This window comes from Homo sapiens, chromosome 17, assembly GCF_000001405.40.
Source record: "Homo sapiens chromosome 17, GRCh38.p14 Primary Assembly".
Classification (NCBI taxonomy): Eukaryota; Metazoa; Chordata; class Mammalia; order Primates; family Hominidae; genus Homo; species Homo sapiens.
In genome coordinates this window covers 46,247,962-46,260,808 of record NC_000017.11, presented here as the reverse complement: position 1 = coordinate 46,260,808, position 12,847 = coordinate 46,247,962, and the positions used below count along the sequence as shown (strand labels likewise).

The window sequence follows — 12,847 nt, the reverse complement described above, 5'->3', positions numbered from 1 at the left end:
TCTACTAAAAATACAAAATTAGCCAGGCATGGTGGCGCATGCCTGTAATCCCAGCTACTTGGGAGGCTGAGGCAGGAGAATCGCTTGAACCCGGGAGGCGGAGGTTGCGGTGAGCCAAGATCCCGCCATTGCACTCCAGCCTGGAGAACAAGAGTGAAACTACGTCTCAAAAAAAAAAAAAAAAAAAAGAGAATAGAGAGCCATGCAGTCCAAGCGGGATTGTGAGCTGTGGTGTGAGAGGGTGAAGGCGGCGCTGGAGGCGTGGGTCAGGGAGACAGGCATCGCCTGGTGCAGGTGAACGGGCAGAGGAAGTATGGCGGGCCACCCCCAGGCTGGGTGGGCAGCCCGCCGCCGGCTGGGTCAGAGGTGTTCATCGGGCGGCTGCCTCAGGAAGTGTATGAGCACCAGCTATCCTGCTGTTCCAGCGCGTGGGCCGCCTCTACGAGTTCCGCCTGATGATGACCTTCAGCGGCCTGAACCGCGGCTTCGCATATGCCCGCTGCAGCTCGCGGCGCGGCGCGCAGGCCGCCATCGCCCGCTGCACAACCACCCGCTGCGGCCGTCCTGCCCGCTGCTCGTGTGCCGCAGCACCGGGAAGTGTGAGCTGAGCGTTGACTGCCTGCCGCCGAATCTGACCCGCACCGCGCTGCTGCCCGCGCTGCTGCCCGCGCTGCAGCCGCTGGGTCCCGGCCTGCAGGAGGCGCGGCTGCTGCCCAGCCCCGGACCTGCGCCCGGGCAGATCGCTCTGCTCAAATTCAGCTCGCACTGGACCGCTGCCATGGCCAAAAAGGCCCTGGAGGAAGGGCAGCCACACCTCTGTGGAGAGCAGGTGGCTGTGGAGTGGCTCAAGCCAGAACTGAAGCAGCGACTTCGCCAGCAGCTTGTGGGTCCCTCCTTGCGGTCCCCACAGCCAGAGGGCAGCCAGTTGGCCTTGGCAAGGGACAAGTTAGGGTCCCAAGGGGCTCGGGCTACCCTGCAGTTGCTGTGCCAACGAATGAAGCTGGGCAGCCCTGTGTTCCTCACCAAGTGTTTGGGCATAGGACCTGCTGGCTGGCACCGCTTCTGGTACCAGGTGGTGATTCCTGGGCATCCGGTGCCCTTCAGCGGCCTCATCTGGGTTGTGCTGACCCTAGATGGCCGGGATGGGCATGAGGTGGCCAAGGATGCTGTGTCTGTAGGGCTGCTGCAGGCACTCAGTGAGTCTGGGGCCAACCTCCTGTGGTCTGCTGGGGCTGAGGCAGGTAGCATGGTTAAACAGTGACTCCATTCTCTCTCCACAGGCAGCCCGAATGGGCATGCAGAGCCTGTATCAGGCCCCAACCCAGCAAACCTGGGTGGCCACTATCTGACCCCCAAAGGTGGGGAGGGGCATGGGCCCAGGCCCATCAGCCTCCCTGCTGGGACAGGGACCTATGGCACCTGGGGGCAGCTTAGGTTTGGCTTAAGTTGTGGTGAGGGGCCTTGCCCTCCCCCTCCCAGCCCAGGGTCCAACCTGACCCAGTTATCTTCCATGGCCATTCCTTATCCCACCCCCACCCGATCATACCTTCCCCCCTCTGCCACAGCTTAGCATGAATCTTCTTTATTGTCCTGATTTGTCCTCTTTGTTGGTTTTTATTTGTGGGGAAGGGCAGCTGAGCCAAAGGGGTCAGAAATTCTGCCCTTTGCCTCCACCACATGGCATTCTGGTTTTGGTTTCTGTATAGTTTTGGGTCTTTCTATGCTGGTTGTATTTATGTTAAACCCCTGGTTAGTAAAAAAAAAAAAAAAAAAAAAAAAAAAAAAAAAATAGGCCGGGTGCGGTGGCTCATGCCTGTAATCCCAGCACTTTGGGAGGCTGAGGTGGGCGGATCACGAGGTCAGGAGATCGAGACCATCCAGGCTAACATGGTGAAACCCGGTCTCTACTAAAAATACAAAAAAAAAATTAGCCGGGCGTGGTGGCAGGCGCCTGTAGTCTCAGCTACTTGGGAGGCTGAGGCAGGAGAATGGTGTGAACCCAGGAGGCAGAGCTTGCAGTGAGCCAAGATTGCACAACTGCACTCCAGCCTGGGTGACCAAGTGAGACTCTATCTCAAAAAAAAAAAAAAAAAAAAAAAAAGAATAATAGTCTCCAATCCTGTCCAGGTTGCTGCAAATGCCATTAATTCATTCCTTTTTATGACTGAGTAGTATTCCACTGTATATCTATACCACAGTTTCTTTAGCCACTCATTGATTGATGGGCATTTGGACTGGTTCCACATTTTTACAATTGTGAATAGTGCTACTATAAACATGTGTGTGCAAGAATCTTTTTCGGCCAGGCGTGGTGGCTCACGCCTGTAATCCCAGCACTTTGGGAGGCCAAGGCAGGTGGATCACAAGGTCAAGAGATCAAGACCATCCTGGCCAACATGGTAAAACCCCATCTCTATTAAAAATACAGAAAGTAGCTGGGCATAGTGGCACACGCCTGTAATCCCAGCTACTTGGGAGGCTGAGGCAGGAGAATCACTTGAACCCAGGAGGCAGAGGTTGCAGTGAGCTGGGATCGTGCCGCTGCACTCCAGCCTGGCGACAGAGCGAGACTCCATCTCAAAAAAAAAAGAATCTCTTTCATATAATGACTTAGAAAGACTGAACTCTTACCTGGGCTGTGTGTGTTCTCTCTCTTTTTTAGTCATTCACTCTAGCTATGTGGGGAGGACATTCAAGCAGTCTATGGAGAAGTCCAGGTAGTAAGCCAATGAAGTCTTCAACCAATATTCAGTAAGGAACTACAGCCTGCCAACAACCAATGAGTGACCTTGAATGCATATTTTCTCCCAATTGAGTCTTCAGATAAGAGTGCAGCCCCAGGCCACTGCTTGACTGAAACATCCCAAGAGAACTGAGCAGAACCACCCAGCTAAGTCCCTCCCAGATTCCTGGCCCACAGAAAGTGTGATATAATAAATGTTTTTTGTTTTAAGCTGCTAAATGTTGGGGATCATTTTTTTTTTTTTTGACATGGGCCTCACTCTGTCGCCTAGGCTGGAGTGCAGTGGTATGATCATGGCTCATTGCAGCCTCAACCTCCAAGGCTCAAGGGATCCTCCCATCTCAGCCTCCCAAGTAGCTGGGATCACAGGTGTGTACCACCACACCTGACTTTGGTGTTTTTTTTTTTTTTTTAAGTAGAAACAAAGTCTTGCTTTGTTGTCCAGGCTGGTCTGGAACTCCTGGGTTCAAGTAATCCTCCCTCTTCAGGCTCCCAAAGTGCTGGTATTACAGGCATGAGCCACTATGCCTGGCCCAATTGTTAAATCTTTTTTAAATTTTATTATTTTTTTCTTTTTTGTTCAAAGTGTTACTTTTTTTTTTTTTTTTTTTTTGAGACAGAGTCTAACTCTGTTGCCTGGGCTAGAGTGCAGTGGCACGATCTTGGCTCACTGCAACCTCCGCCTCCCAGGTTTAGTTCAAGCAATTCTCCTGCCTCAGCCTCCCGAGTAACTGGGATTACAATCACGTGCCACCACACCCAGCTAATTTTTTGTATTTTTAGTAGAGACAGGGTTTTGCCATGTTGGCCAGTCTGGTCTTGAACTCCTGACCTCAGGTGATCCACCCTCCTCGGCCTCCCAAAGTGCTGGGATTACAGGTGTGAGCCACCATGCCCAGCCTAGTGTTAAATCTTTATAACAACATAAGTACGAGGTTGAGACTTATTACCCTGTTTTACAGATGAGTAACTGAGGCACAGAAAGGTTGAGTTACTTGGCCAAGGTTATACAGCTAATAATTACAGGATGCCAAAACCGCTAGCTTCTGCCAGTGCTCTTAATATAAGGTTGAAAGAAAAAAGAAGAGAAAAGAGCCAATTAACATAAAACATAGCTGTTAGAAGCCTCCTTCTACAAATGGCGATGAAGTCTAAGTTGATAATCATAGCCGCCTTCTTCACCACTTCTTCCAATCCCCTTTCGAAGGGTTCTGTGCCTCATAGGGACACTCAATACTTTATTCCATAAGACCTGACTTCTTGGTGGTCTTGTTTTTATTGGGTTGCTCTACTTTTCCATTAACCAGGTCTTAGGGTCAAGAGCCTGCTAAGATGTGTCCCCAGTGAATTTTTGGCTTTCAGACATAGCCTCCTTCCTCCATTAAGTAACAGAGCCATTTTCCTCTTGCTAATCATATGTAAAGAGGCTAGTTCGGTGATGGTTTTAGTCAGCTCAGTATTACATACTGGGTGGCTTAAACAATAGACATTGATTACTCACAGTTCTGGAGGCTGGGAAGTCCCATATCAGGGTGATAGCACAATTGGGTGCTGGCAAGGGCTCTTTTCCTAGCTTGCAGATGGCTGCCTTCTTGCCATATCTTCACTTGGTGGACAAAGAGAAGAAAGGCTCTCTGGTCTCTTCTTTTTTTTTTCTTTTTGTTTTGAGACAGAGACTCTCCAGATGCTCTCTCTGTCCAGGTTGGAGGCTGGAGTGCAATGACATGATCTGGGCTCACTGCAACCTCCACCTCCTGGGTTCAAGCGATTCTCCCACCTCAGCCTCCCAAGTAGCTGGGATTACAGACTTGCGCCACCACGCCCAGCTAATTTTTGTATTTTTAGTAGAGATGGCTTTTCACCATATTGCCCAGGCTGGTCTCAAACGCCTGATCTCAAGTGATCCACCCACCTTGGCCTCCCAAAGTGCTGCGATTTCAGGGGTGAGCCACTAGCCAGACCACCTGGTCTTTTCTTTTAAGACACTCATCCCATCATGGGGCACTGTCAGCCTAATTACGTCCCAAAGGCCCCACCTTCTAATACCATCACATGGAGGTGAGGGCTTCAACATAAGAATTTGGGGGCCGAGGCCGGGTGTGGTGGCTCACCCCTGTAATCCCAGCACTTTGGGAGGCTGAGGCAGGCAGATCACGAGGTCAGGAGATCGAGACCATCCTGGCTAACACGGTGAAACCCCGTGTCCACTAAAAATACAAAAAATTAGCCAGGCGTGGTGGCGGGCGCCTGTAGTCCCAGCTATTCGGGAGGCTGAGGCAGGAGAATGGCGTGAACCCAGGAAGCAGAGCTCGCAGTGAGCCAAGATCATGCCACTGCACTCCAGCCTGGGTGACAGAGCGAGACTCCGTCTCAAAAAAAAAAAACAAAAAACAATTTGGGGGCCGGGCGCGGTGGCTCATGCTGGTAATCCCAGCACTTTGGGAGGCTGAAGTCAGCAGATTACCTGAGGTCGGGAGTTTGAGACCAGCCTGACCAACATGGAGAAACCCCATCTCTACTAAAAATACAAAATTAGCCGGGTGTGGTGGCGTATGCCTGTAATCCCAGCTAACTCGGTAGGCTGAGGCAGGAGAATCACTTGAACCTGAAAGGTGGAGGTTGCAGTGAGCAGAGATCGCGCCACTGCACTCTAGCCTGGGCAACAAGAGCAAAACTCCATCTCAAAAAAAAAAAAAAAAAAAGAATTTGGGGAGGATGCAAACACTTAGCCCATAATAGTAGCCGCCTTCCATCCTTATTGATTCAGCAGCATGAGGAACTTTAAATGGCCAGCTTCGGCTGGGCAAGGTGGCTCATGCTTGTAATCCAAGCACATTGAGAGGCCGAGGAAGGAAGATCACTTGAGCCCAGGAGTTCCAGAGCACTCTTGGGCAGCATACTTGCCCATAGTGTAAAAATTAGCTGGGCAGGGCTGGGCTTGATGGCTCACACCTATAATCCCAGCACTTTGGGAGGCCGAGGTGGGTGGATCACCTGAAGTCGGGAGTTTGAGACCAGCCTGGCCAACATGGTGAAACCCCACCTCTACTAAAAATACAAAAATTAGCTGGGCATAGTGGTGTGCGCCTATAATCCCAGCTACTTGGGAGGCTAAGGCAGGAGAATCGCTTGAACCCAGGAGGCAGAGGTTGCAGTGAGCTGAGATCACACCACTGCACTCCAGCCTGGGTGACAGAGACTCTGTCAGAAAACAAAACAAAACAAAAAAAACAGGCGCGGTGGCTTATGTCTGCAATCCCAGTGCTTTGGGAGGCTGAGGCAGGCGGATCACAAGGTCAGGAGTTGAGACCAGCCTGGCCAACATGGTGAAACCCCGCCTCTACTAAAAAAAAAAAAATTGCCAGGCGCGGTGGCACATGCCTGTAATCCCAGCTACTCCGGAGGCTGAGACAGGAGAATCGCTTCAACCCAGGAGGTGGAGGTTGCAGTGAGCCAAGACCGCGCCACTGCACTCTAGCCTGGGCAACAAAATGAGACTGCGTCTCAAAAAAAAAAAAAATTAGCTGGGCAAGGTGGCATGCGACTGTAGTACCAGCTACTCAGGAGGCTAAGGTAGGAGGATCTCTTGAGCCTGGGAGCCTGGGAAACAAGAGTGAGATTCTGTCTCTAAATAAATAAATAAATAGATAGATAAATAAATAAATAAATACAATAAATGGCCAGCCTCGGCTTCCAGTTGAATAAAACCATAATAGTATTTCCTGATCTACACATTTCTTCCTTTGGCACTAGGACCTCTGGACCCACTGAGTCCCGGGTCCCTGGCAAGGAAAGCAAAAATTCTTCATGTGAATTATTAGGGGCCACAGTGGGAGGAGCCACTCCCATCTCCTCTCCTCGGTTCCTGGACTCATTCTAGCATGGTCTAAGTCTAGGAACGGCAGTGCTAGCAGAAGTCCCGCAGGCAAGGGAGGCAAATCCACACCCAGAACACGGGTCTGTCGTTGTGAGGATGAGGCACTGTCCTTACACCCCAGTCTGGTCCTACAAAAAAGGATGGCCTCTCAGGGTGCGACCTTCACCTTGGAGCAGCGCCCTCTGCTGGCCGCCTCTAAGATCTGTGGCCACTTGCATCCCCCTTCTAATCTTCCCCTACCTCTGTTGGTTCAAATCCTCTCTCAGTTTATTAATCCTTGGAAAGAATTACATAGCGGTTATTCACAGCTTGTAAATTACAATAGAAAGGTTCCTTTCAAATGGTAGAGTTGCACTAAAGAGGAAATTGGGTTTATAAGAAAATGCACCTCTCCCTCTCCCTCTCCCCCTCCCCTCCCCCTCCCTCTCCCTCTCCCCACGGTCTCCCTCTCCCTCTCTTTCCACGGTCTCCCTCTGATGCTGGACTGTACTGCCGCCATCTCGGCTCACTGCAACCTCCCTGCCTGATTCTCCTGCCTCAGCCTACCAAGTGCCTGCGATTGCAGGCACGCGCCGCCACGCCTGACTGGTTTTCGTATTTTTTTGGTGGAGACGGGGTTTCGCTGCGTTGGCCGGGCTGGTCTCCAGCTCCTAACCGCGAGTGATCCGCCAGCCTCGGCCTCCCGAGGTGCCGGGATTGCAGACGGAGTCTCGTTCACTCAGTGCTCAGTGGTGCCCAGGCTGGAGTGCAGTGGCGTGATCTCGGCTGGCTACAACCTCCACCTCCCAGCCGCCTGCCTTGGCCTCCCAAAGTGCCGAGATTGCAGCCTCTGCCCGGCCGCCACCCCGTCTGGGAAGTGAGGAGCGTCTCTGCCTGGCTGCCCAGTCTGGAAAGGGAGGAGCGTCTCTGCCCGGCCGCCATCCCATCTAGGAAGTGAGGAGCGTCTCTGCCCGGCCGCCCATCGTCTGAGATGTGGGGAGCGCCTCTGCCCCGCCGCCCCGTCTGGGATGTGAGGAGCGCCTCTGCCCGGCCGTGACCCCATCTGGGAGGTGAGGAGCGTCTCTGCCCGGCCGCCCCATCTGAGAAGTGAGGAGACCCTCCGCCCGGCAACCGCCCTGTCTGAGAAGTGAGGAGCCCCTCCGCCCGGCAACCGCCCTGTCTGAGAAGTGAGGAGCCCCTCCGCCCGGCAGTCGCCCCGTCTGGGAATTGAGGAGCGTCTCCGCCCGGCAGCCACCCCGTCCGGGAGGGAGGTGGGGGGGTCAGCCCCCCGCCCGGCCAGCCGCCCCGTCCGGGAGGTGTACCCAACAGCTCATTGAGAACGGGCCATGATGACAATGGCGGTTTTGTGGAGTAGAAAGGGGGGAAAGGTGGGGAAAGGACTGAGAAGTCGGATGGTTGCCGTGTCTGTGTAGAGGCGGGTAGACATGGGAGACTTTTCATTTTGTTCTATACTAAGAAAAATTCTTCTGCCTTGGGATCCTGTTGATCTGTGACCTTACCCCCAACCCTGTGCTCTCTGAAACATGTGCTGTGTCCACTCAGGGTTAAATGGATTAAGGGCGGTGCAAGATGTGCTTTGTTAAACAGATGCTTGAAGGCAGCATGCTCCTTAAGAGTCATCACCACTCCCTAATCTCAAGTACCCAGGGACACAAAGACTGCGGAAGGCGCAGGGTCCTCTGCCTAGGAAAACCAGAGACCTTTGTTCACTTGTTTATCTGCCGACCTTCCCTCCACTATTGTCCTATGACCCTGCCAAATCCCCCTCTGCGAGAAACACCCAAGAATGATCAATTAAAAAAAAAAAAAAAGAAAGAAAATGGAGGCATGGTGGCACGCGCCTGTATTTCCAGCTACTTGGGAGGCTGAGGTGGGAGAATCACTTAAGCCCAGGAAGTGGAGGTTGCAGTGAACTGAGATTATGCCACTGCACTCCAACGTGGGTGACAGCGAGATCCTGTCTGAAAAAAAAAATCAATGAATCAAAGAATGGTGACCCCAGTAAATACCTGATACTTTATTTATTTGGCTCAATGAAAATAAAAAAGAGAATTTTATGCAAAAATTTCAGACAACTGAATTTTGCCAAATGATTCCATTTACTAAGGATTCCATCTTTGGTTCTAATGTAGTATATATTCCCTGTGGAGGAAATGGATTTCTCCAAATAACTGGATCCATAGTCATGTAATGCTAGTGGGGACAATCACCCCAGCTTAGATACCATCAAATGAATTCCAACATATGTGGGCTCTCCCATTATTTGTCTTCTCACCTGCCAGCCTGCCTCTCTTGGCAATGCTAGGATTCCAGAATCAGGCCCTAAGCTCAGCAAGGGCCTCCATGAGGGCCATATTACACCCTAAGATTCCCAGATGTCTATTTGGAACCACCTCTGACTTACTCCCTTATTTTGCCCCTGAAACTGCATGGGGACAAAGAAGAAATCATAAAAACAGGGATAATGGATATGGCCCTAAGTATTTTAATGTGGCCTATCAATAGTGTCGTCATACCATCCCTGTTTACCAAGCCTTTATGGCAATTTCTTCACCTTGATACTGTTGACATTTTCGGCTGGTCATCATTTTTTATGGGGGAATTGTCCTGTGTGTTTTAAGACGTTAAGCAGGACAGGTGAGGTGGCTCACACCTGTAATCCCAGCACTTTGGGAGGCTGAGGTGGGCTGATCACCTAAGGTTGGGAGTTTGAGACCAGCCTGACCAACATGGAGAAACCCCATCTCTACTAAAAATACAAAATTAGCCAGGCGTGATGGTGCATGCCCATAATCCCAGCTACTCGGGAGGCTGAGGCAGGAGAATCGCTTGAACCCGGGAGACAGAGGTTGCAGTGAGGCGAGATCGTGCCATTTCACTCCAGCCTGGGCAACAAGAGCAAAACTGTGTCTCAAAAAAAAAAAAAAAAAGATGTTAAGCAGCGTCCTTGACCTCTGCCCAGATATTGCCAAATGTCACTTGGGGAGCAAAATTGGCCCAGTTGAGAACCACGGGACTAAGGTAAGCAGAATTATCAGGATAAAACAGACAATTCACCTCTATCATACCAGAGTTTTTTGTTTGTTTTTTGAGACAGGGTCTTGCTCTGTCACCCAGGCAGGAGTGTGGTAGTGTGATCATAGCTCACTGCAGCCTCAAACTCCTGGGCTCTCAGGAGGCTGAGAAGCAGTGAGTCACAATTGTGCCACTACAATCCAGCCTTGGCAACAGAGGGAGAACCTTTCTCAAACAAACAAGAGGAAGAAGAGGAAGAGGAAGGAGAGGAAGAGGAAGAGGAAGAGAAGGAAGAGGAAGAGGAGAAAGGGGAAGGGAAGAGAAGGACAAGGAGAAGGAGAAGAAGAAGACTCTGGGGCTCAAGCCATCCTCCTGCCTGAGCCTCCCAAAGTACTGGGATTACAGGTGTGAGTCACTGAGCGTATTAGTCAGGGTTCTCTAGAGGGACAGAATTAATGGAATATATACAGGAGTTTATTAAGTATTAACTCACAGGATCACAAGGTCCCACAATAGGCCGTCTGCAGGCTGAGGAGCAAGGAGAGCCAGTCTGAGTTCCAAAACTGAAGAACTTGGAGTCCGATGTTGGAGGGTAAGAAGCATCCAGCACGGGAGGAAGATGTTGGCTGGGAGGCTAAGCCAGTCTCTCACATTTTTCTGCCTGCTTATATTCTAGCCTTGCTGGCAGCTGATTAGCTTGTGCCCACCCAGATTAAGGGTGGGTCTGCCTTTCTCAGCCCGCTGACTCAAATGTTAATCTCCTTTGGGAACACCCTCACGGACACACCCAAGATCAATATTTTGTATCCTTCAATCCAATCAAGTTGGCACTCAGTATTAACCATCACACTGAGCCTGGCCAAAGCTGGACTACTTGTAAGCTTTTGTCTGGAACCGTGATTTGGGAGCCAGTGGCCCGAGGACGATGAAAACTATCAGAGGTGGCTGGGCACAGTGGTTCATGCCTATAATCCCAGCACTTTGGGAGGCGGAGGTGGATGGATCACTTGAGGTCAGGAGTTTGAGACCAACCTGGCCAACATGGCAAAACCAGTCTCTACTAAATATACAAAAACTGGCCAGGCATGGTGGCTCACGCCTGTAATCCCAGCACTTTGGGAGGCCGAGGCAAGTGGATCGCCTGGGGTCAGGAGTTTGAGACGAACATGGTGAAACCCCATCTCTATTAAAAATATAAAGAACTAGTCGGGCATGGTGGCAGGCTCCTGTAGTCCCAGTTACTCGGGAGGCTGAGGCAGGAGAATTGCTTGAACCCGGGAGGTGGAGGTTGCAGTGAGCCGAGATCATGCCACTGCACTCCAGCCTGGGCGACAGAGCGAGACTCCATCTCAAAAACAAACAATCAGAGGCGCTGACTGCAGTGACAGCCATCTGGCTCTGACAGTTCCTGTGCTTCCAGCTTCTTGCTATTTCAGGGGCTCTGGTCTTGATTCTTGCAGGTTCCCAAACCTGGTCCTACAGCTCCCCACCTCCTGTCTCTTTAGTGGTTTAGTGGGCGCCCCCTCCCCTGTATCTTTCTAGTGAGTTTTAATGTGCTTTGCTTAGGTAGGGCTGGTTTGTTTCCATTGTTGGCAACAAGAAGGAATTGGTCAAGGAGTCTAAGAAGTTGTCTGGAGAACCAAGAAAAAGATTTCCTGGAAGCATAGAAAGAGTGTGTTTCCGGAAGAAAGATTTATCAAGAATTTCAAACATCAGGGCCAAGTCAAGCAGGACAAGGACTAAAAGGTGCTCCTTAAATTTGCCTATGAAGAGGCCACTGCTGGGGAGGAGTGTGTCAGGCGGCAGTGGAGGGAGGACAGCAAGTGTAAAGGAGACTCTGCAACCTCCACCTCCCAGCTTCAAGCACTTCTTGTGCCTCAGCCTCCTGAGTAGCTGAGATTACAGGTGTGTGCCACCACATCTGGCTAATTTGTGTATTTTTAGTAGAGATGGGGTTTCCACACAACTGGAATACTACTGAGCAATAAAAAGGAGTGAACAGTTGTCCCTCGGTGTCTGCAGGGGATTGGCTCCAGGACCCCCTGCCGACACCAAAGTCCACAGATGCTGAAGTCTTTTCTATGAAATGACATAATGTTTGTATATAGCCTCAGGTATACTTTAAATACCTAATACAGTGTAAATGGTATGTAAATAATTATACTGTATTTTAAATTTTCTACTGTTTTTATTGTCTTATAGTTATTTTATATATTTCATTTTTTTCAAGTATTCTCCATCCATGTTCAGTTGAATCCATGGATGAGGAACCTGCAGATATGGAGGGCCAGCTGTAGTGATGGGTGCAGCAACATGGATGGCAGCATAATTTCAAAAAATAATATGATAAGTGAGGCCAGGTGAGGTGGCTCACACGTGTAATCCTAGCACTTTGGGAAGCCAAGGCGGGCGGATCACTTGAGGTCAGGACTTCCAAACCAGCCTGGCCAACATGGTGAAACCTCGTCTCTACTAAAAATACAAAAATTAGCCAGGCGTGGTGGCATGTGCCTGTAATCCCAGCTACTCAGGAGGCTGAGGCAGGAGAATCACTTGAACCTGGGAGGTGGAGGTTGCAGTGAGTCTAGGTCATGCCGCTGCACTGCAGCCTGGGCAACAGTGAGACTCCATCTCAAAAAAGAAAAAATTATGCTAAGTGAAAGAAGTCAAATACAAGAGGCTACATGCTATATGATTTCATTTATAAGATATTCTGGAAAAGGCAAAACTATAGGAAATCAGATTAGTAGCTAACAGGGGCTGACGGTGGGAGGAGGTGATTGACTACAAAGGGACACGAGGGACCTTTTTGAGGCGACAGAAATGCTTTATATTGGGAATGTGGTGGTGGTTATGTAACTATACATTTGTCAAAACTCATCAAATTGTACACTTAAAAAGGGTGAATGTTAGTATATGAAAATTATATCTCAATAAACCTGACTTAAGAAAATAATAAAACAAACCTAAAAACGCAACAGGGTGAAAATAAGTCTAAGAAAAAAATAACTTACAGTTTTTCCAGTTCAACGGTCATCATGAGAATGTTCTTAAGTGTTGTAAGTGGGACTTGCGTTGTTCCCACGTCTCTGAAGAAGAAAGCCGAAACATTCATGATATGAACCCCAGTAAAAAATTCTGTACTTAAAAAGATAATTCAAGGACATGTGATTACTTCAATTTTGGCTTCCCTATAAAACAAGCCAGTTCAA

At 50.0% G+C, this 12,847-nt stretch overlaps 1 protein-coding gene and 1 pseudogene across 1 annotated transcript in view, besides 1 other annotated feature; one reads left to right on the top strand and one right to left on the bottom strand.

Moving 5' to 3' along the window:
• LRRC37A (leucine rich repeat containing 37A) overlaps positions 1–12,765 on the bottom strand; it is an 89,751-nt gene extending 76,986 nt beyond the window's left edge. Inside the window, exon 1 of the mRNA XM_047437205.1 lies at positions 12,650–12,765. Coding sequence (XP_047293161.1) covers positions 12,650–12,750 — 101 coding nt within the window. The 5' untranslated portion in view covers positions 12,751–12,765. The remainder of the gene's footprint in view (positions 1–12,649) is intronic.
• On the top strand, positions 196–1,756 carry DND1P2 (DND microRNA-mediated repression inhibitor 1 pseudogene 2; annotated as a pseudogene).
• Positions 586–1,132: an enhancer, noted in NCBI's record as "H3K4me1 hESC enhancer chr17:44337043-44337589 (GRCh37/hg19 assembly coordinates)". NCBI's record gives its function as "activates a minimal SCP1, AML or CMV promoter by ChIP-STARR-seq in naive H9 embryonic stem cells {active_cell/tissue: H9 hESC(naive)}" and the evidence as "EXISTENCE:reporter gene assay evidence [ECO:0000049][PMID:30033119]".
• Positions 12,766–12,847: the final 82 nt, after the last annotated feature.